Source organism: Homo sapiens, chromosome 11 (genome assembly GCF_000001405.40).
Source record: "Homo sapiens chromosome 11, GRCh38.p14 Primary Assembly".
Taxonomy (NCBI): Eukaryota; Metazoa; Chordata; class Mammalia; order Primates; family Hominidae; genus Homo; species Homo sapiens.
Window position 1 is genome coordinate 46760064 of NC_000011.10, and position 23863 is coordinate 46783926.

At 38.9% G+C, this 23863-nt stretch overlaps 1 protein-coding gene and 1 non-coding gene across 3 annotated transcripts in view; both read right to left on the minus strand.

Annotated features, from left to right (window-relative positions):
• CKAP5 (cytoskeleton associated protein 5) overlaps positions 1-23863 on the minus strand; it is a 103233-nt gene that overhangs the window by 17016 nt on the left and 62354 nt on the right. For both annotated transcript variants that reach the window (NM_014756.4, NM_001008938.4), the window contains exons 18-33: positions 23211-23305; positions 20365-20422; positions 20131-20256; positions 18397-18536; positions 18076-18250; positions 17376-17489; positions 16192-16320; positions 10725-10919; positions 9900-10035; positions 7512-7600; positions 5068-5193; positions 3418-3567; positions 2913-3116; positions 2564-2699; positions 1937-2130; positions 549-721 (exon numbers count right to left, since the gene is read on the minus strand). In NM_014756.4, coding sequence (NP_055571.2) covers positions 549-721; positions 1937-2130; positions 2564-2699; positions 2913-3116; positions 3418-3567; positions 5068-5193; positions 7512-7600; positions 9900-10035; positions 10725-10919; positions 16192-16320; positions 17376-17489; positions 18076-18250; positions 18397-18536; positions 20131-20256; positions 20365-20422; positions 23211-23305 — 2240 coding nt within the window. The remainder of the gene's footprint in view (positions 1-548; positions 722-1936; positions 2131-2563; positions 2700-2912; positions 3117-3417; positions 3568-5067; positions 5194-7511; positions 7601-9899; positions 10036-10724; positions 10920-16191; positions 16321-17375; positions 17490-18075; positions 18251-18396; positions 18537-20130; positions 20257-20364; positions 20423-23210; positions 23306-23863) is intronic.
• SNORD67 (small nucleolar RNA, C/D box 67) lies at positions 2326-2436 on the minus strand. Its single transcript, NR_003056.1, has one exon. It is a non-coding gene; the product is annotated as a small nucleolar RNA, C/D box 67 (small nucleolar RNA).

Sequence of the window (23863 nt, forward strand, 5' to 3'; positions counted from 1 at the left end):
TATTTTGAGTCCCTAAGCCAATTTTGGGTTGCATGTATTTTAATTAGCCTTATCTCAAGAATAGGAAACTAAGCACAACCAAGTATAACACAAAGAAGAAAGTGAATCAGTATTTTAGCCACATGACATTGAACTTTTGTGGAAGACTTGATTCATGGGGTACTTATGGACACCCTCTACCCTGATTATAAACTCTAAGCTAGTCACCCTCCAGAGGGGATGAATCCAAGTCAGAAGTTAGAAAGATATAAGAGCCCTGCTAATGAGAAATTAGCAGGCAGTACTTACATCCTATAAGTGCGATACATAATTCTGTCCACGGAAAAGCAGTGAAAGAAGGCACAAGACCATTTAGAAGTGGTTTTGAGACAAAGACAAAGACAATGAAGACTGAAGAATCAAACATTTGGTTACAATACATTTACCCAGACACTCTGTCATGCATGATAATGGCTACAAGAACTCAAGATTATGTTACAGGACAGGCTGTGAGCACACAAGGCAAAGGCCATGGAGATGCTCTCAGACAAGTATCTCTATCTACATACTTGAGTTTGGAAGACATGTCCTCAGCTGGTCCCTTGCGTAACATGTTGGCATTGGAGCTTATGTTCTGTGCACGCTGAGGTTTCTCTTCCACCTGTTTTATTGGTGCAGCAGAGGGTCTCTTTGCTGACCGCTTAATCCTCTCCTCGAGCATGCTCATATCCTTTTCAGAAAGCTGTAAAGAGGCCAAATTTAGAAACCTAACTGGATAACACAATAATATCTATTTTCATATCAAAACAAATAGAACCTTCTATGTTAGGACATGTTTACTTTCAAAGCACCACATTTCAAAATCAACTACTATTAATACCTGCCTAGCTGCTATAGGAAGAGGAGATATGAAAGAAGGAGAGGGGCTGGGCACAGTGGCTCATGCATGTAATCCCAGCACTTTGGGAGGCCAAAGCAGGAGGATCACTTGAGCCCAGGAGTTTGACACCAGCTTGGGCAACATGGTGAAACCCCATCTATACATAAAGTATAAAAATAAGCTGGGTGTGGTGGCACGCGCCTGTAGTCCTTGCTACTCAGGAGGCTGAAGTCAGAGGATCACTTGAGCCTGGGAGGTCGAGGCTGCGGTGAACCATGATCACACCACTGCACTCCAACCTAGGTGACAGAGCAAGACCCTGTCTCAAAAAAAAAAAAAAAAAGAAACGATAAAAAAAAGAAAGCCAATTAGTAACTACAAATAAAAAGGTCAAAAATTAAATGAAGCTTCCTCATTTTTTGTTTTGTCACCACTATCTAGCTGTGTGACTATGGGCAAGAAACTTCATTTTTGGTCATCTGTAAAATTCCCAACTGCTTTATATTCTTCACTGGGTAGTAGTGAGAATTTAATTAGAAAATATAAGTAAACATATTTAAGCCCTGTGTAAATACATGGTGACACTATGAGGTAACTGAAGACGGAGGTCCAGACTCACTCAAACGAAATAAGAGGTCAGAGGCAGAACCTAATGTGAGTGAAAAACTGGCTCACGGCTGTAGCGCAAGATGTGATCTGACAGATACTAGCATCCACACTATACACAAATAAGCACTTTTTAACCAAAAACTCGATGCAGTAAAAATTACAGAGCAGACTGCCAGGCAGAATTTAAACCCGGGACTAGCTCAGATTTCTTGATTCAAAAATAGCACTCATTTCTAAAGCAAATTTGCTATGAATAGAATGCTCAGAAAAGAAAACTTGATTTCCATTAAAACAGCCTAATCAGAGACACCTCAAGGGTCTATCTGGATTCTAGGACACATTGATAGGTTGAGTTGACTAAAAAGTAGTAAAAACTTAGCTACAGTTGAGAGGACAGGAAACCTAACACCTAGGAGATCTTGCAATTCTTTTCACGACATGCTGACAGTGTTCAGAGAAGTCACTCACATTTCCAATCAGTTTGAACACCTGATCCCCATGTACATTGTACACCGTTACAATGGTGTTGAGTGCAGCATTGCGTACAGCATTGTCACGGTCTCCTATGTGAACAGCTATTTCCTTTAAGGCTTTTCCTGGGGTTGGTTGGCAAACATTCATGCCATAGGACTCAACCAGACATCCCAGCTCTTCCAGGCACTCTGATGGGGGAGAAAGGCTAGATTAATGAGACAACACATATTTGGGACAGAGACTTATCCTTACTAGAGAAATTTCCCTTGGCATATATGAAGGACTAAAACCTTACTCTGGCTCTGCCTAGGATTTTTTGTTTACTGCCTTTTATCAGTGAAAAAATGGTATTTCAGCAAGTGCTCCTGAAAGGAAGAGATGCCTGTGAGTCAGATGGCCCCTGTGCACTTGATTTTGTCACCAGGGTGATACTGAGTGGTGCCTGTATCACCTGATACCATGGCTCCACCAGTGTGCAACTCATCACTCTCACAGTCTAAATCAGGAGGTTGGAATCAACTACATAGGCACTGGAGAAATTTATTTGTTCATCTATAAACTATTTCTTCTATAGGCTACTGCTGCAGAGATTCACATCTCAGTTTAAACTGTTTGCTTCACCTGCTCTCTGCTTAGAGTTTTTGGATTTGGTTCCTTCCATGATAAAGGGAAACATCTTGCTAGCTGGGTAGACAAGGCACATCCGGTTCAGGATGGCACGAACATCTTTACGAATGACATCCTTTGGTTCTCCAACCTAGTCGATAAGGAAAATAATGATTAAGTGAGGCATTTCCTAAGTAGCAATGATTCTCCCATGCATTACTATGTTTTGAAAGAATAGGGAAATAGGGATAAGTAGGGAAGGTACCGTGATATAATCAGTAAAAAAGGGAGAGGAAATAAAAGTACAGAAACTGAGGTCAGCTGGGAACTTAAGCAGTCTCCCAGAGAGAGAACACCACATTACCTTGACGACAAGATAGGGGATGAAGGAAGATGCTTCATTCTCAGTAAGATGATATTCTTCTTCACTTAGCAAGGTGAAGAGCAATTTTAAATATTCTAGTGCTTTCATCAGGACGCTTGTATTGGTGTCAAAAAACCTCAGGGTAAGCCACTTTAAGATAAGATCCAGGCAACCAATAACTCCTTCTTTTTCACTCTCCAAGTGCTTAAAATAAAACAAAACAAAACTCCCACAAATAAGAATAATCAAAATCTTAATTCTACTAGGCAAGTGTCTTTTAAATTTTATTGGAGCCCAAAAAGAAAATGACAGATTTTTAAGCCTTCAATTAAGACCTAAAAAATATACACACACATTCATTTATTCTACCAAATAACAAGACAGCTCTAAAAATAGAGAACATAGTATATTCTACTTCCAAGTCATGCAAACTTCAGATTATTTCATAGGGCTCGGTATTTTTACATGTCTGAAATACATGTATATTTATCTATTGCAGACTTACATCAACCATAACAGCAAGGGCTTTGTTATGATGCTGAAAGTCTGAGTGAAACATCTCATCTTGTAACCATTTAGCCACACAGCTAGACATTTGAGTCTTTAGTTGCTCAATGTATTCATCCCGTGGGGTAGTAAAATTCCACTTTAGCACCTGGAAAAAACAAACGGTGAAAAGGGGCTACAGGGTGTTCAACTGAAATGAGGTAGAGAGCCTTATATAATGCAGCTGCAGGAACAATAAAATATTTAAAAATTCAACAATATTCATTTGTAATTAAATATGAATGCAAATTTCAAGGTGTCATACTTCTTGAAGCTTAACAACTCTGAAAATCTTCTAGGAATAAAAATTTTTGGAATTGTTTGTTTTTGAGACAGAGTCTCACCTGTTGCCTGGGCATGGCAGAGTGCAGTGGCATGATCATAGATCACTGTAGCATTAACCTCCCAGGCTCAAGTGATTCTTCTGCCTTAGCCCCCCAAGTAGCTGGGACTACAGACATGCACCACTATGCCCAGCTAATTAAAAAATTTTTTTCGTAGAGATGAAGTCTCAATATGTTGTCCAGGCTGGTTTTGAATTCCTGGGCTCAGGCAATTTGCCTGCCTTAGCCTCCCAAATTGTTGGGATGACAGGCATGAGCCACTGTGCCTGGCCTTGCAATTCTTACTAAAGAAAAAAAAAAAATTAATCCTACATATAACTATATAACATGGTGGACACTGCTGCCACATCTTTGATAGAGAGAAAATTTGAAATATCTATCAAAATTATGCATATCATCATTCTAGGAGTTTAATATAGATACACTCACATATGTGTACAAAGACCTACATTCAAAGATATTCACAGCAGCAGTGTTTGTAATAGTGAAAGACCAGAAACAACCTAAATGTCCAACATAGTGGGCGAAGGATAAAGAAAGGTACATACATACAATGCACCAATACAAACAGTGATACACACATATATACACAGATACGAATGATCTTTCAGATATTTCAAACATCATTAAAAGAAAATAGTGAGATACAGAACAAACAGTACGGCATGTCTGTATATGCCATCTGTATAAAAGGAGGGCTATATAAAAATATACATATGATAGTAGAGGTATAAAATATTTCTGGAGTAATACATTGAAAAAATGAGGACTAATATCCTCCCTGTGGAGGGATACTGGAACAGAGACATGCTTTTCTTACTATACTTTGCACTTTCTGTACTGCATATAATTTTTAAAAAAGATTATGTATTTTGAAAACAAATTTAAGTATCTAATGAAATCAAAGTAACATAAATGACTGAACTAGCCATTTATACAGTCACAAAGTCTGCCTTGTAAGGTCTTAAAAAGAAGGATTAATGAAGAAGCTTATACATCCAATTAATTAAAAAAAAAAATCAATGAAGATACCAAAAAAGCTACTAAATCATTTATTTCTATTTACAGGGAAAAATAGGCAATAACTCTATTCTATAGTTTCTTTTGTAGGAATTAATGCTCCCATAAACTAAATAATATAATTTATAAGCAAAAGAAACACTTAATTCCTAGATATTAAACAATAACATGAATTCAGACAGCAAAACTATTCTTGAATAACAATACAAGCAAAAATCTCCTGACGATTCTTAATCCTTCCTTACCTTCAATCCTTTTTCATCTTTCATCCTTTGCTCTTTTCCATTTGGAACAACAATAAAAATAGGCCCGGATTTGTCTTCATCCTCCTTTAAGCTGGTTTTGCTTGGCATCTTCTTCCCTTGTGCACTCTACAACCAAGGTTCAGGGAATACTGATTAGCTTGGCCACTTCTCCTTAAGAATATGATGCTGCTGCCCAGTAAAAGGGCACTGTAGAAAACAGAGATATCTTTCTACGTGATATTTCACATGAAAAAAACATGCATCACAGAATCTTGTATATGTTTTTGAACAGGTTCTCTAGAAATTTTTCTGAGAATATTCTTAAGTAACTGTTGGTTAGTTCTTGGACTGGCATGTTATGTAGTTGGAAAAACTGCTATTACTGATCATTAGTCTAGGTCACAAACTTTTTGTTTTTGTTTTCTTGAAATCTTCAACACTATTTATAGCTTTCCATATTAATGACATCTTTTTTTTTTTTTTTTTTTTTTTGAGACGGAGTCTCACTCTGTCGCCCAGGCTGGAGTGCAGTGGCGTGATCTCAGCTCACTGCAATCTCCACCTCCTAGGTTCAAGTGATTCTCCTGACTCAGCCTCCTCAGTAGGTGGGACCAAAGGCGCCCACCACCACCCCTGGCTAATTTTTGTATTTTTAGTAGAGACAGGGTTTCACCATGTTGTCCAGGCTGGTCTCGAGCTCCTGACCTCAAGTGATCCACCCACCTCAGCCATTAATGACATCTTGAATGGCATTTACACATTTCCAAACACTTAGTTTGAAAGCTTTTCTGTTTCTTTCCATTGATATTTAAATGTATCTCTTATCATAACAGTGTAACTGAAGACCTTTTGAACTTGCTTCTAGAGAAAGTTACAAGAAATGCTTTAAATATTTAAGTCACTAAAGTGGTTTTAAAAAATAATCCAAGATTTAAAATCTTCATATCAGATAGAAAGAAAATAGTAAACAATAGTACACATATTTAAGGTAAAATTCAAATTTCATTACTGGAATCATTATTATTATAAATGTAGCATGGCCACTATTTCTAGTTGGCCACAATTTCTTTCTAGTATAAACACTAATGTCATTCAGACCAAACAAATATGAGATCATTTATATGAAACTGCTTCGTAAGTTTAAAAAGATTGGGAAAAAAATTATGGCATTAAGAACGGAGTCAAAAATACTGCAAAACACTCGTGATCTAAACTAAAATAAGCACTTGTTAAATTTGGGATGAGGACAGGCAGACAGGAAAAGAACAACGTCATTGGATAGTTGAAGATAATTACCCATTTAAATTAATTCACTGAGGAGTTAAAGGGCCTGAGCATAGGGAAGAAAAATGGTTAATTGTAATATTTAGAAGAAAGGCCCTAGAGTGTGTACTCCAAAATGGGGGTGTAATAATACATGTACTGGTTAAAAAACATTCTCTATATTTTTTCATCAATTACAGGAAGTAAATTAAATAATTCTCTATTTAGACTTACTATTAGATTCATTACCCATTGCACAGTTTTGCAATTTTCCTTTTGTAAGTGTTAAATAATTAACACTCTGAATATGTTTATTAATCTCAATCTTGATAGAGATAATGACAATTTACTGTGATTTTAAAACTTAATTAAATGAAAAAATCACCCAGAGGATAAAGTTGAACATTTGAACACACTGCTTTAAATTGTCCAACTCTCCATGAATATTGAAAGAATTGCTGATGCATCAAAATAAATCCCACTGGGACAAAAGATATTTCCCTGCAGACTAACCGAAACATCTTCTAATATGATGACAACAGTGCCAAATTTGAAGGAGGTTGATTTAACTTCCTTTTCTTAAATCCAAATCAGCCTAAAGTGTTTATTATGCCAGAGCTACAAATGCTTTCTCCTTTTTTTTTTTTTTCCTGAGTCTCGCTCTGTCATCCAGGCTGGAGTGCAATGGCGAGATATTGGCTCACTGCAACCTCCACCTCCTGGGTTCAAGCGATTCTCCTGCCTCAACTTCCCAAGTAGCTGGGATTACAGGTGTGCCACCATGCCCAACTAATTTTTGTATTTTTAGGAGAGACAGGGTTTCGCTATGTTGGCCAGGCTGGTCTCGAACTCCTGACCTCAGGTGATCCGCCTGCCTCGGCCTCCCAAAGTGCTGGGATTACAGGCGTGAGCCACTGTGCCCGGCCCTTTCTTCTTTCAATAAAGTAAATCTTTCCCCGAAAATCTACATGAAAGGAAGATGACAGCACCTCTTGAGAGCAGGATGTCTCCGTTTTAGGACCTTATTAAAAATGAACCACAGAAATTTGTATAAATAATTTGATAATATCAACAGCAGTGATGTTCTTTTATATATAATATGATCCTTCCTAATAGAATGACTCAGTATATAAAATATATTTAAAAGCAAGTCTACATCGAAGTATACAGAGTTAACATACCTTTGCTTTAGAGGATAATCCTGGAGCTTTGGCCTTTTTTGGATCAGGTTTGGGTTCTGTACTGCTGGAAATACAATCTTCAGCAGGTGCTTTGAGGAAAAAAATATATATATACTATAAACTTTAACTAATATCATTTTATTTTGGACAGGTTAAATATATAATGATGACAAGGAAGCTTGCAGTCTTAAATGTATCAATTTATAAGATGTTTTCAGTTAGTTTTTTTTTTATGAGACAGGATTTTGCTCTATCTCCCAGGCTGGAGTACAGTGGTGCCTTCACGGTGCTCACTGCAGTCCTGACCTCCTGGGCTCAATGAATTCTCCCACCTCAGCCTCCCTAGTAGCTGGGACTACAGGCCCGTGCCACCGCACCCAGCTAATTTTCTTTGTAATTTTTGTGGAGACAGGGTTTCGCCATGTTGCCCAGGCTGGTCTCAAACTCCTGGGCTCAAGCAATCCACCCACCTTGGCTTCCCAAAGTGCTGGGATTACAGGCGTGAGTCACTGTGCCTGGCTTAGATTTTTTTTTCCTAATAATTTTTCTCCCAAAATCTTTAAGCGTAAGAGAGAAATTAATTCAGAAAATCTGTATCTCATTTACCAACATTTAAACTGTAGTTTCATTTGTTTGTTTAGACAGGGTTTCTGTCACACAGACTAGAGTGCAATAGCACGTTCAGGGCTCACTGCAGCCTTGACCTCCCTGGCTAAAACAGTCCTCCTACCTCAGCCTCCTGAATAGCTGGGACTACAGGCGTGCACCACCAAGCCCAACTAATTAAAACAACTTTTTTTTTTTTTTTAGAGACAGGGTCCCACTATGTTGCCCAGGCTGGTCTTGACCTCCTTGTCCTCTCAAAGTGGTGGAATTACAGGCGTGAGCCACCATGCCCAGCCCAGACTGATACTTTCTTAAAGGTAAAGACATCTTTGATATTCAGTATCTGCTACATAGCAAGATTTCAATAAAAACTGAATATGTACTTTAATAAAGAGTTTTACACAGGTAAAATTTTTTTTTTTTGAGACTAGTTCTGGCTCACCCAGGCTGGAGTGCAGTGGTGCGATCGTGGCTCATTGAAGCCTCAACCTCCTGGGCTGAAGCGATCCTCCCACCTCAGCCTCCTGGGTAGCTGGGACCACAGGTGTGCGCCACCAAGACTAGCTAATTTTTGTAATTTTTGTAGAGATGGAGTTTTGCCATGTTGCTCAGGCTGTAAAATTTCTAACTTTATAGCATCAACAATTTCTATTCCACTAAATTCAAGAATATTGTTTTGTTTAAGCAGTAAGTCTAAAAATGAATTGGTCACAGGTTATATATTATCAAATTTTATTTATTTTTATTTATTTATTTTGAGACAGAGTCTTGCTCTGTCCCCCAGGCTGGAGTGCACTGGCGTGATCTTGGCTTACTGCAACCTCTGCCTCCCGGATTCAAGCAATTCTCCTGCCTCAGCCTCCTGAGTAGCTGGGATTACAGGTATGCACCACCACACCCAGCTAATTTTTGTATTTTTAGTAGAGGTGGGGTTTCTCCATGTTGGCCAGGCTGATCTCAAACTCCTGACTTCAATGATCCACTGGCCTTGGCCTCCCAAAGTGCTGGGATTACAAGCATGAGCCACTGTGCCCAGCCTATTATGGAATTTTAATATCAGGATAAAGAAATCAAGAATTATCCCTTAAAGAAGGTTAATAAAGTGGATTAAGCTAGATTCTCCCAATTCCTCTTCTAATTATAGTATCCAGGAGCAGAAAATAGTTGTGGAAATGTAGGATGCAACACTTCAGAAAGGACTATTTTAATGTACTATTCCAAAACTCCTTTTGGGATCGGGTGTGGTGGTTCAAGCCTGTAAGTCCAGCACTTTAGGAGACTGAGATGGGAGGATCGCCTGAGGCCAGGAGTTTGAGACCAACCTGCGCATCACAACAAAACCTCATCTCTATAAAAAGTAAAAAATTTAGCCAGGTGTGATGGCGCATGCCTGTAGTCCCAGCAACTTGGGAGGATGAGGCAGAAGGAACACTTGAGCCCAGGAGTTCGAGGTTGCAGTGAGCTATGATCACGCCACTACACTCCCTCCTGGGTGACAGAGCAAGATGCCATCTCTAAAAAAAAAAACAAAACAAAAACAAAAAAAACTTTTTAGAATTAGAAACCAAATTAGTCACGTTTGTACCCTTAGTACAGTTCCTGGCATAAAATAGGTACTTGACTACTTGACAAGTGTTTGTGAAAGGAAAGTAAGCAGAGAAGGAAGGAGAGCTTGGATCTACGCTGTAAGGAAATGTGATTTAAAAAAGACAAGGCTGAATGTCTTTTTAGAGTTCCTCAGGGCTATTTCCTTCCCCTTTAACCTTCTTAAGATAGAGTTACCTGATGCAGGCTGGAATTTGGCTGGAGCGGACCCTCCCATTGGTTTAGAAGTTGCTTTAGTGGGTGGAGCAGGCTTGGCTGGCATGTTAACTTTGGCTTTCTCTAGCATGGCCAATACCTGATCTTTAGAAGTTGGCTAGAGAGACAAAATGACATAAAAAGTGAGAGGTCACATAAATGATAAAGTCATACAAAGCTTATGAACAAATCCTCTGTCAAACAAATGATTGAGCTCCTAGTTTTGAAATACCACTGAAGTAAGGGAGGCAGTACATGGTGTCAGAGAAGTCACACACATTATGAAGTCACACTAAGGTAGGTATCATTCTAGAAGGTCACAGTTTTCACCCCTGTGAGGTCAGCAGATTTTTACTTCTACACTGCTTAATATTTTATTTTTGCTTGTTACGATTTCAAATTGAGACTCACAGGAGGTAATATGGTTTTTTCCTCATATAAATTCATGTTTAATATATATATATTTTTAAGACAGAGTTTCTCTCTTGTTGCCCAGGCTGGAGTGCAGTGGCACGATCTCAGCTGATTGCAACCTCTGCCTCCTGGGTTCATGCGATTCTCCTGCCTCACCCTCCCAAGTAGCTGGGATTACAGGCATGTGCCACCAAACCCGGCTAAATTTTGTTTTTGTAGAGATGGGGTTTCACCATGTTGGCCAGGCTGGTCTTGAACTCCTGACCTCAGGTAATCCACCTGTCTCGGCCTCCCAAAGTGTTGGGATTACAGGCGTGAGCCACCGTGCCAGGCCCATGTTAAATATATTTTTTAATAGCTTTTAACAGCAGTAGCAGCAACAAGAAGTAGTACCTTTAGTTTCCCAGTAGCCTTGGCCATTTTTTCATATCCTAAATGCATCATGAAGAATGGCAAGGCATCTTGGGCCTTCTTTCGCACATCTCCATTTCGATCTTCTAGGCAGGAGTAGAGATGAGGAACACAAAGGATAAGGTCTGTAGGGGTGGAACGAAGAGTAGGTAGTTTCTCAGCCAGCCAGCCCAGAAGCTGCCAAAAGAAATAAAGACTAGTTACACACTTCAAATGAAGACTGTTATCATTTATGATCTCAGGCTTACTGATTTCATTAGTCTCAAGCACTGAATTAGCTTTCACACTATAACTTTCCAATATGAAATCAGTACTTTTCATAATTCAAGAACTGTGCTAAATTTAAATAACATATGCAATGATGACAATCATCTTTAAGATAAGGACACATTTCTTTGGACTATATTTGGGTATTAAATTATAAAGCTTTAATACATCTTAAAGATGAAAAACTTTTACTTATCTCCCTTTAGTTCTGAAAAATATTTAGCTAGAAGACCCAAAGCACTTATTGTGATCAGAAGGTTACAAATTTTACCAAGACTTCTTATTTTTTGCCTTATGTTGACATTTTTCTTCTCTATATCCCTAAAATAGTTCATATTTGTATTTTTCATTTTTGAGACAAGGTTTCACTCCCGTCACCCAGGCTGGAGGGCAATGGCATAATCTTGGCTCGCAGGCCAGTGGGATTGGCTTTAGTCATGCAGCACAATTCCTTGGAGATTTATCTGAATTATTGTATTTACCAGCAGTTTGTTCTTAATTGCTAAATAGTATTCCATGTATGGATGTACAAGAGATTTGTTTAACCATTCACCTACTGAAAGGTATCTGAACTGTTTCTAGTTTTTGGCTATTATGCAGTAAAATGCTCTACCCTTGAGCTATAGTCCCAGTTTTTGGCTACTATGATTGAAGTTGTTATGAATATTTGTACATAGATTTTTGTATGGATATAAATTTTCATTTTTCTGAAATAAATGTCCAAGAGTGCAATTGCTGGCTCATATAGTAACTGCACGTTTAGTTTTATAAGAAAATACCAAACTATTTCCTGAAGTAGTTGTACCATTTTACATTTCCAGCAGCAATGCATGACTGTTTAGGTTTCTCCAGCATTTCACGTTACCATTATTTTTAATTTTAGCAATTCTGATGATTGTATAGTGATATTTCAACACAGTTTTAATTTGCATTTCCCTGGTTGCTAATAACACTGAGCATCTTTTTTTTTTTTTTTTTTAAATTAAGTCTTGCTCTTGTCACCCAGGCTGGAGTGCAATGGCATGATCTCAGCTCACTACTCACAGGCTTGGCCATGGATACCCATTTTCTGATTTTTCTGTTGTTGTTGTTGTTACTGTTGAGTTTTCAGAGTTCTTTATATATTCTAGATATTAGTCCTTTATTGGATACTGGCTTACAAATCTTTTCTGTTGTTCTGTAGCTTGTTTTATTATTTTCATGTGGTTTTTTTTGCAGAGTAAAAGTTTTTAATTTTCATGTGGTCCAATTTATCAACTTTCCTTTTATGGATTATGGTTTTGGTTTTAAGTCTAAGAATTCTTTGCCAGCCTCCCATCCTGGAGATTTTCTAGTTTGCACTTAAAAGTTCTATAGTTTTATGTTTCAAATTTAAGTCCATAATCTGTTTTGAGACAGTGAGGTTTAGGGTGAGGTTCATTTTTTTGTTTATGGATGTCCAATTGCTCCAGAATCATTTGTTGAAAAGACTATACTTCCTTCACGGACTTATTTTTGTAGCTTTGTAAAAAATTAGTTGATATTAGTGTGGGTCTATTTCTGGGTTCTCTCTGTTGTTCCAATGATCTACGTGTCTATCTCCACCCCATCCTCCTGCTACCACTATCACAGTGTCTTGATTACATTAGCAATATAGTAAGCTAATTGTAAAGTGATTCCTCTTTTTTTTTTTTGTTTTTTTGTTTTTGAGACGGAGTCTTGCTCTGTCACTCAGGCTGGAGTGCAGTGGCACGATCTTGGCTCACTGCAACCTCTGCCTCCCGGGTTCAAGTGATTCTCCTGCCACAGCCTCTCGAGTAGCTGGGACTACAGGCGCATGCCACCACACCCAGCTAATTTTTGTATTTTTGGTAGAGACGGGGTTTCACCATGTTTGCCAGGATGGTCTCGATCTCTTGACCTCGTGATCTGCCCCCGCCTTGGCCTTCCAAAGTGCTGGGATTACAGGCGTGAGCCACCGCGCCTGGCCCTCACCATTAAGTTTCATGTTATCTGTAGAGGTTGTTATGCAGATGCTTATATCAAGTTGAGGTAATTCTCTTTCATTACTGACTTGCTAAGAGTTTTTAATCATGAATGCATGTTGGATATGTCAAATGCCTTTTTTGCATCAGTTGATATAATCACAAATTTTGTTATTCTGTTGTTATGATTACTCTGATGGATTTTTGAATGTTCTATTTTTTTTTTTTTTGAGACGAAGTTTCGCTTTTGTTGCCCAGGCTAGAGTGCAATGACGCGATCTTGGCTCACTGCAACCTCCGCCTCCCGGTTCAAGTGATTCTCCTGTCTCAGCCTCCTGAGTAGCTGGGATTAGAGGTGCCCACCACCATGCCCAGCTAATTTTTCTATTTTTGGTAGAGATGGGGTTTCACCATGTTGGCTAGGCTGGTCTTGAACTCCTGACCTCAGGTGATCCACCCACCGTGGCCTCCCAAAGTGCTGGGATTACAGGCGTGAGCCACTGCAACTGGACTTTTTTTTTTTTGAGATGGAATCTTGCTCTGTTACCCAGGCTGGAGTACAGTGGTGTGATCTCAGCTCACTGCAACCTCTGCCTCCTGGATTCAAGCGATTCTCCTGCCTCAGCCTCCCGAGTAGCTAGGACTATAGGCCCGCACCACCACACCCAGCTAATTTTTTGTATTTTTAGTAGAGACAGGGTTTCACCATGTTGGGCAGGCTGGTCTCCAACCCCTGATCTCAAGTGATCTGCTTGCTCGGCCTCCCAAAGTGCTGGGATTACAGGCATGAGTCACTGCACCCAGCCTCTATTTTTATGTTCTGATTAAAACCTCTGATTTTAATTAGAGCTATTTATGACAAACCCACAGCCAATATCATACTGAATGGGCAAAAGCTGGAAGGATTCCCTTTGAAAACCGGCATAAGACAAGGATGCCCTCTCTTACCACTCCTTTTCAATATATTATTGGAAGTTCTAGCCAGGGCAATCAGGCAAGAGAAAGAAATAAGGGTATTGAAATAGGAAGAGAGGAAGTCAAATTATCTCTGTTTACAGATGAACATGATTGCATATTTACAAAACCCCATCCTCTCAGCCCAAGAACTCCTTAAACTGATAAGCAACTTCAGCAAAGTCTCAGGATACAAAATCAATGTGCGAAAATCACAAGCATTCCTATACACCAATAATGGACAAACAGAGAGCCAAATCATGAGCAAACTCCCATTCACAATTGCTACAAAGAAAATAAAATACCTAGGAATACCTCTTCAAGGAGAACTACAAACCACTGCTCAACAAACACAAACAAATGGAAGAACATTCCATGCTCATGGATAGGAAGAATCAATATCATGAAAATGGCCATACTGCCTGAAGTAATTTATAGATTCAGTGCTATTCCCATCAAGCTACCAATGACTCTCTTCACAGAATTAGAAAAAACTACTTTAAATTTCATATGGAACCAAAAAAGAGCCTGTATAGCCAAGACAATCCTAAGTAAAAAGAACAAAGCTGGAGGCATCACGCTACCTGATTTCAAATTATACTACAAGGCTACAGTAACCAAAACAGCATGGTACTGGTACCAAAACAGATATATAGACCAATGGAACAGAACAGAGGCCTCAGAAATAACACCACACATCTACAACCATCTGATCTTTGACAAATCTGACAAAAAACAAGAAATGGGGAAAGGATTCACTATTTAATAAATGGTATTGGGAAAACTGGTTAGCCATATGCAGAAAACTGAACTGGACCCCTTCCTTACACCTTATATAAAAATTAACTCAAGATGAATTAAAGATTTAAACCTAAGACCTTAAACCATAAAAACCCTAGAAGAAAACCTAGAATACCATTCAGGACATAGGCATGGACAAAGACTTCGTGACTAAAACACCAAAAGCAATCACAACAAAAGCCAAAATTGACAAATGGGATCTAATTAAATTAAAGAGCTTCTGCACGGCAAAAGAAACTATCATCAGAGTGAACAGGCAACCTACAGAATGGGAGAAAATTTTTGCAATCTATCCATCTGACAAAGGGCTAATATCCAGAAGCTACAAGGAACTTAAACAAATTTATAAGAAAAAAACAAACAACCCCATCAAAAAGTGGGTGAAGGATATGAACAGAAACTTTTCAAAAGAAGACATTTATGTGGCCAACAAACATATGAAAAAGATCATCACTGGTCATTAGAGAAATGCAAATCAAAACACAATGAGATACCATCTCACGCCAGTTAGAATGGCGATCATTAAAACAACAGATGCTGGAGAGGATGTGGAGAAACAGGAACCACTTTTACACTGTTGGCTGGAGTGTAAATTAGTTCAATCATTGTGGAAGACAGTGTGGCAATTCCTCAAGGACCCAGAACTAGAAATACCATTTGACCCAGCAATCCCATTACTGGGTAATACCCAAAAGATTATAAATCATTCTACTATAAAGACACATGCATACGTATGTTTATTGCAGCACTATTCACAATAGCAAAGACTCGGAACCAACCCAAATGCCCATCATGTTAGACTGGATAAAGAAAATGTGGCACATATACACCATGGAATACTATGCAACCACAGAAGAAGAATGAGTTCGTGTCCTTTGCAGGGACATTGATGAAGCTGGAAACCGTCATTCTCAGCAAACTAACATAGGAACAGAACACCAAACACCGCAATTTCTCACTTGTAAGTGGGAGTTGAACAATGAGAACGTACGGGCACAGGGAGGGGAACATCACACAGTGGGGCCTGTCGGGGGTTAGCGGGGCAAGGGGAGGGATAGCATTAGGAGAAATACCTAATGAAGATGACGGGTTGATGGATGCAGCAAACCACCATGGCACATGTATACCCATGTAACGAACCTGCATGTTCTGCACATGTATCCCAGAGCTTAAATAATAATAAAAAAAACACAAAACCTCTGATTTTACCATTTAAATGTTTAAGAAAAGGGAAAAATTCCACAAAAAGCCTAGTCCTCTAAAAAGCGTTATTGATAAAGAAGCATGTGAAAGGAAAAAATGGAAGCACATGAATACAAAGGCCCCAGGAATGTGATTTCATTTTATTAACTGTTTTATAATGAAACTCATTCTAACCATAAATGCGTATTTATCAGACAGGCCCAAGCCCCTATGGAAGTAAATGACATGAGTAATGCACATGATTAATTTATGATACTAACCTCTTGCCTCAAGAAAGGATTTTCCTTTTTGAGCTCTTCAGAAAGATCTTCTCCTTCCAGCCATTCCTTCATGCCAGTCTGTTCTGCCCAAGCATTCACAGTCGCTAGGGCAGCAGCTCGAACATTGTTCTAAATGGAGAAGATAATCAGCAAAAATAATATCTACTACAGTTTGGAGGTAGGGGGTGATCACTGTTGCTTTATGAACATGAACAATGGAGGGTTATCTAAGGCCCACATGAACATACATGAAACCATCTTCTCTGAAACAGAAACTAGTTCTATGATTGTACTAAAACTCCAAAGTAAAGTAGAAATATAAAACTCCAAATTGTAAAACTTGTGTACTCAGTTAATCAGGCAAAACAGTGAGTGATCTGGGCATAAAATATCATGTAAGAAGAATAACTCTTATATTTTGTTTCCTGAGTAGTTGGGGGCATTTACGTCCATGTCTGTCTGCTAAAGAATGAAATTCTAAATGTTAAAGACATCATAATGGTTAAGACTGAAACTGCTAATAAATTGACTGAAAATTAGTTATATTTTTATATTAATTTACATTAATATTAAAAGCACAAATTATATTAAATAAAGTTCCTCAAGTTAAATAAATTATACAACAGTATAGAGATATTCAAATATTTAGTCTACGGCTAAACATTGTAACCTTCAATGATATTTCAGTGACTTCTAGAACTATGAAACTACAAATATCTTGCTGAACTACTAGAAGATCCCACTCTAATAGTTCAGAAAAATAAAAGTAGAAAATAACTTAATGAACTCCAAATTCACATATTTATTCACTATAGCAAAATGTTACACAATTACGTTATAATCATAATAGCAACCATTTATTGTGTGCATACTATATGAGACAGGCACAATAAAATGTACCTTACATACAGACTCATTTAATTCTGTAAGAAAGAAATTTCACAGATAAAGAAACTGACCCTCAACAAAGATAGCTTATCTAAAAGTCACAAAACTAATAAGTGATACCTGGTCACCTTAATACTGCCTGGAAGATAAAAATGTTTACTGTTTTTCTTCTAATATTTTCATCTTTATAAAGTTTATCAGGTCTTTACATGACTCTAAAAAGAGAATTATCTTTAACCCAAAAATATGGCTGGCCTATTCCAGAATGGAGGCATGGTGAAAAGAGTTAGGTTTACCTTGCTGTCTCCAAGGACTGTGATGATAGGGATGCCTAAATTTTTTACATGTTGCTTAATATTTGGGCCCATGGCTACTGCCAGTTGTTGCAGGATATTCAGCGTTTGCTGTACCTGAGTGGAAAGAGCCAATACTTTATGTTGAAACGATAAGCAAGTTGTGTGCAAACTTCCGTAAATTTGCTGCTATACTGTCAATACAGCAGGAGATTTTTGGCCTACTCAAGAGACAGAGACACTGGCTTGTCATGCTATTCGACTTAGATTATTCTAATTAATTTTTAGGCAGTGGCCTTTTTATCATCAGTTCGTAAAACTAGATTATCAGAATTTTAGACCAGAGATCATAGTACTTTACAACTTTAAGGTAAAACCTAGTTTAAGGAAATCCTGACATAAAAATCCACATTTAAAAATCAGAAATCATTATGTTTACATGTATTACAAGCAGTTTTATACAAATATATTCAATATTGGATTCCTGCAAAAAGCAAATTCTGAGACTCATAAAAATTTGATGAATAAATCTGCCAACTACCATCATATCTTGAGATACACTTAATAAATTAAAGGCAGCTATTTCTAGTTCAAAGCAAATAAAGTAACCACTTATTTTTTGCAAGTGAAGGCTACACTGAAAAGGTAACTCCTGCAGCAGTGGGGAGGGGAGATAAAAAGAACAGCCGTATGCTCTACATACCAAGATTTTATTTGAATCATTGAGTCGACCCTTCAAGGCAGTTGGAAGTTCACCTATATTCGGTTGGATAAATTTTGCGTCATTAATAATACCTGCCACTTCATCTAGGCCTTCTTTCCTAATCTTCCAATTCTTATCACCAATCTTAGATACCAACTCTGAAGTGATTTTATCACTGAAAAACAGAAAATAACCTTTAATTCCAGACTCCAAAAAAATGATGATATCACGTTAAGTTCCCCTCACTGAATTCAAAAAGAAGACAACATTCTGAATTCAATACAATGAATGAAATAAACCATTTCACAGACTGGAACCTACCTGATCTCCGTCCTCGGCAAAAGATCAACGACATCATTGCTCCCGTCATCTGGTTCATCTCCATCTTCTCCTTCATCTGTACCACTTGTGCTATGCTTGGAAATTCCTCTGGTTGGAGCAGGTGGACTTTGTCCCTGCATCTATACACAAATGAATGAGTAAGGCTAATGAAATTTATATAGGATATGGGAACAAACAAATTAGAGAGGGTGCCTGTGTCAAACTCTCATTCCTTTGTAATACCTATTTACACAGTAGGTAATTTGACTACTACCTAGATTACAATTTTGAGACCATATGTCAAAAGGTATTTTTATACAAAACCTACTAGAAGGCAGGGTGTGGTGGCTCACACTTATAATCCCAGTACTTTGGGAGGCCAAGGCGGGTGGATCATCTGAGGTCAGGAGTTCAAGACCAGCCTGGCTGATACGGTGAAACCTCGTCTATACTAAAAATACAAAAATTAGCCTGGCATGGTGGCACGTGCGTGTAATCCCAGCTTCCCAGCTGAGGAGGCTGAGGCAGGAGAATTGCTTGAACCTGGAAGGTGGAGGTTGGAATAAGCCCAGGAAGCGCCATTGTACTCCAGCCTGGGCAACAAGAGTGAAACTCCACCTCAAAACAAACAAACAAACAAAACAACCCAAAAACAAAACAAACAAAACATAAAAATTTTTTTTTTTCTTTTTGAGACAGAATCTTGCTCTGTCACCCAGGCTGGAGTGCAGTGGCATGATCTTGGTTCACTGCAACCTATGCCTCCCGGGTTGAAGTGATTCTTATGCCTCAGCCTCCTAAGTAGCTGGGATTCCAGGGCGTGCTACCACACTCGGCTGACTTTTGTATTTTTAGTAGAGATGGAGTTTTGCCATGTTGGCCAGGCTGGTCTCAAACTCCTGACCTCAAGTGATCTGCCCGCCTTGGCCTCCCAAAGTGATGGGATTACAGGCGTGAGCCACCAAGCCCGGCCAAAATCATCAATTTCTTATGAACTCTTCCATGGATACTTTATTGTGCATAAAAGCAAATACATACATATTCTTCATTCCAGAAAGACAGAGTCTCAGTATGTTGCCCAGGCTGGAGTGCAGTGGCTATTCATAGTTGTGATCCCACTACTGATCTGCACTGGAGTTTTGACCTGCTCTGTTTCTTTCTTTCTTTTTTTTTCTTTTGAGAAAAGGTCTCTCTGTGTGGCCTAGGCTTGAGTACAGTGGTACAAACATGGCTCACTGGAGCCTCAACCTCCTAGGCTCAGGTGATCCTCCCACCTTGGCCTCCTGTGTAGCTGGGACCACAGGCATGTGCCACTATGCCTGGCTAATTTTTTGATTATTTTTTTGTAGAGAAGGTCTCATTTTGTTGCCCAGGCTGGTCTTAAACTCCTGGGCTCAGGGGGTCCTCCTGCCTTGGCCTCCCAAAGTGCTGGAATTACAGGCATGAACCACTGCACCTGGCCGACCTGCTCTGTTTCTGATCTGGGCCAGTTTACCTCTCCTTGGGCAACTGGTGGTCTCAGCTCCTGGGAGGTCACAATACTAATGCTGAACTTAGTGTGGACACCCAACTGGCATAGCACACTACAGCCCAAAACATCTGCACTTAAGCAATCCTCCTTCCTCAGGCTCCTGAGTAGCTGGGACTACAGGCGTGCACCACTACACCCAACAGTTTAGTCTTAATGAGATTCTCAAGTCCACTAACAGATTGTATCATTTGTGGAAATTCTACCTTCTCAAATTCTGCATCTATCTGGGATAGGAGGGCAGGCTTCTCATCCTCAAAGAACATTCGCAAAGAGGGACCAACATACAGATACATCACGCCAAGCAGGGTTATGGCAGCAGTCCTCACAGCCTGCCAGACAGAAGAAAAATAACTTTTTAAATCACAAAGATGGCAATAATAACTTTTTAAATCCACAAAGATGGCAATACTGCCCTATATATGTTGTTATGTACTCACTGGGTTTGTTGCAGCAAGAGCTGTCTTCACATTGCTAATGAAAGCTTTGACATTCAACCTAGAAGAAACATTTAGAATTAAAAGCAAACAAATGAAACCCTCAAAATACTCAATAACGTTTTATAAAGCCAGACTCTAGGACTGGCTCCCTTTGGCAAAGTTCTCACTTTTTCTCTTCCTACACTAACTTTATTTTATTTTATTTATTTGAGACAGAGTCTTGCTCTGTCACCTAGGCTACAGTACAGTACATGATAGCTCACTGCAACCTCTGCCTCTCTGGTTCAAGCGATTCTCATGCCTCAGCCTCCTGAGTAGCTGAGATTACAGGTGTGTAACACCATGCCCAGCTAATTTTTTTTGTTTGTTTGTTTTTAGTAGAGACAGGGTTTCACCATGTTGGCCAGGCTGGTCTCGCACTCCTTACCTCAAGTGATCTGCCTGCCTCAGCCTCCCAAAGTGCTGGGATTACAGGCATGAGCTACCACACCCAGCCTCCTACACTAACTTTAAAGTGAGCTTTAAATACTATCTATAGGCTGACAATCCTATTATGCTTAATTACAACTCCTAAATCCAATCTTGAACTCTCTCCTGAACTCCAGATTCACATCATCCAGCTGCCTTTGTGATATTTCCATTTGTATGCCTGGAAGACAGCCTACATCTAATATACTGAAACCAAACTCCTGATTGTCCTCACTCCAGTCCCAAAACCTGTTCCTCCCAGAGTCTTCTACACCTCAGTAAAGAGCCACATTGTTCTTCCAGTTATTCAGGCTATCCTTGACTTTTTGAAGTTATCCCTGACTTGTCTCTCTCTTGTTCTATTCTACTTTTTAAATATCTTATCAGTTATAACACTTCCACTTCTACAATCTATGTCCAAGCCACCAGAATTTCTCGACAGGATTATTCCAATAGCCTACTAATTCGTCTTCCTGTCTTTGATCTCCTCTCTGTCTTCTCTGACAACAGTCAGAATATGAACCTGTTACTCTTCTCAAAAGCCCCTAATGCCTTCCCAACTTATTCAAAATGTTGAGGCCCCACATGACCTAGCCCCTATTCTTTCTCTAGCTTTATCTCCTACCACTTCCTACCCACTCACTCATTGTCCTACAGCTACATTCTGAAGAAAAGACACTCCTTGCTATTTTAAATACATCACATGTACTCCTACCACAGAGCTTTTGGCATTTGCTCTTCCCTTGGTCTAGAATGCTCCTCTCTGATTATCACAGCTTGCTCTCTCATGTCCTGGTCTCTACTCAAATGTCATTTTTTCAGGAAGAACTCTTCAACTACTATATAGAAAACAACACCATCTAAACTATACCACATTATTCCATTTAACCCTTCATCCTGCTTTACATAAACATATATATGTAAAAAAAAATAGATATATATTTTTTGAGATGGAGTTTTGTTCTTGTTGCCGAGGCTGGAGAGCAATGGCATGATCTTGGCTCACTGCAACCTCTGCCTCCTGGGTGCAAGTGATTCTCCTGCCTCAGCCTCCTGAGTAGCTGGGATTACAGGCGTACACCACCACACCCAGCTAATTTTGTATTTTTAGTAGAAGCAGGGTTTCTCCATGTTGGTCAGGCTGGTCTCGAACTCCTGACCTCAGGTAATCTGCACACCTCAGCCTCCCAAAGTTCTGGGATTACAAGCATGAGCCACCGCGCCCGGCCTGCCTGCCTCTCTGTCTCTGTCTCTCTCTCTCTATATATATATTTTTAACTGTTTATTACCTATCTTTCTTTACTCAAATGTAACTCCCATGAAACAGAAATTTAATTTCGTTCATGATGTATTCTGAAGGACTGGAACAAACAATTGGAACATTGTAGTGGCCAATATGTAATTGTTTAATAAATGAATAAATGAAAGATCATAACAAAAAAGAGGAAAATATATGGCTTTTATAAGTGACATGCCAAGAGATGTGTGTTATATCAAAGACTATACAATTAAGAGGAATTATAACAATACCCTCAACTATGGGCGAACACCACAGATAATAACATAACAAACCGTTCTTTGTTATTTGAGTAACTTCTAGAGTAGTGTTTTTTCAATCAGTAGAACTCAAAATACCCTTTTACAAGATATTAACAGGCATGTTGCAAAATGTAGCATGGCACAGAGAAAGGTAACATAGTATAGCAGCTACATCATTCTTTCTCCAAACCAGAATGCCTGGATTAAAATCTTGGTTTTGCCACTTTCCTAACTATGATGGGCCCAAATTACTTAAACTTTCTGTGCCTTAGTCCTCATCTATAAGATAGGGATAATATAATACCTCGCTTAGTTGTTATGATGATTAAATCAAATGAATTATGATTTAGAAAGTGCTTTTTAAAAGTACCTGGGATAAAGTAAACTGTATAAAGTTTTGTTTTAAATAAACAACCGTGCTCTATAAGCAAATAAGTTTGGGAACAGTGGGTTAAACAAAGTTAAACAAGCTCTTCTATTGCAGGATTTCTGACAGCAGTTAATTCGCCAAGGCATACTATAGGTCTTTAAACAAATGTAATTATATACAGAAATTTCCTAATGTATTTGACTAGAAATTCTTGGAACTGGATTTTCTGTGGGACAGCTATTAATGCTTAAGGAAAAATAACGTAGAGAACTCTTTCAGTGAACATCAAAAAGCAGGAACACAAGCCAATATAGACCTTTGAGAACAAAGGTAATTTTCTTTTATATAAATGAGACAATCCAGCTCTCACTCTTCAGAAATAAACAGCAATAGCTATTATTATAAACAGCACGACTTAGAGACTGACAGAACATTTAACTATTTTCCACTTGATTTCGTTCTGACTTACCCAGAAAAACCAAATTCTTTTATGGCATTTGATAGCCAATTCAGAGTTTCTGACTGATTTTTGGGATTCTTTTGTGAGAAAGCCATTGACACAACCTGAAAAGGGAAAAACAGCAGATCTGTGTTTTATCTCGTATTTCTTATAGAAATACAGCATGACATTAAGGCAGATGTGCATTAAACTAGTTTTCTGACGCTAAAACAACTGCAAGAATGCCTTAGGAACAAGAGTGAACCTACACAAGAAAATGAGGTGAAATGATAGTAGGACTAAAGGCATTCTGGACTATTTATAGCTTTGCAGCAATTACTCTGCATTATAATGTTTTTTTTTTTTTTTTAGAGACAGGGTCTTGCTCTGTCACCCAGGAGTACAGTGGCACAATCATCAATCATTGCAGCCTCAAGCTCGTGGGCTTTCACCTTCTATAGAATTTTTTGTTTATTTGTTTTGAGACAGTCTCACTCTGTTGCCCAGGCTGGAGTACAGTGGCGTGATCTCGGCTCACTGCCACGTCTGTCTCCCAGGTTCAAGTGATTCTCCTGCCTCAGCCTCCCTAGTAGCTGGCATTACAGGTGTGCACCACCACGCCTGGCTAATTTTTGTATTTTTGGTAGAGACGGGATTTCACCATGTTGGCCAGGCTGCTCTCA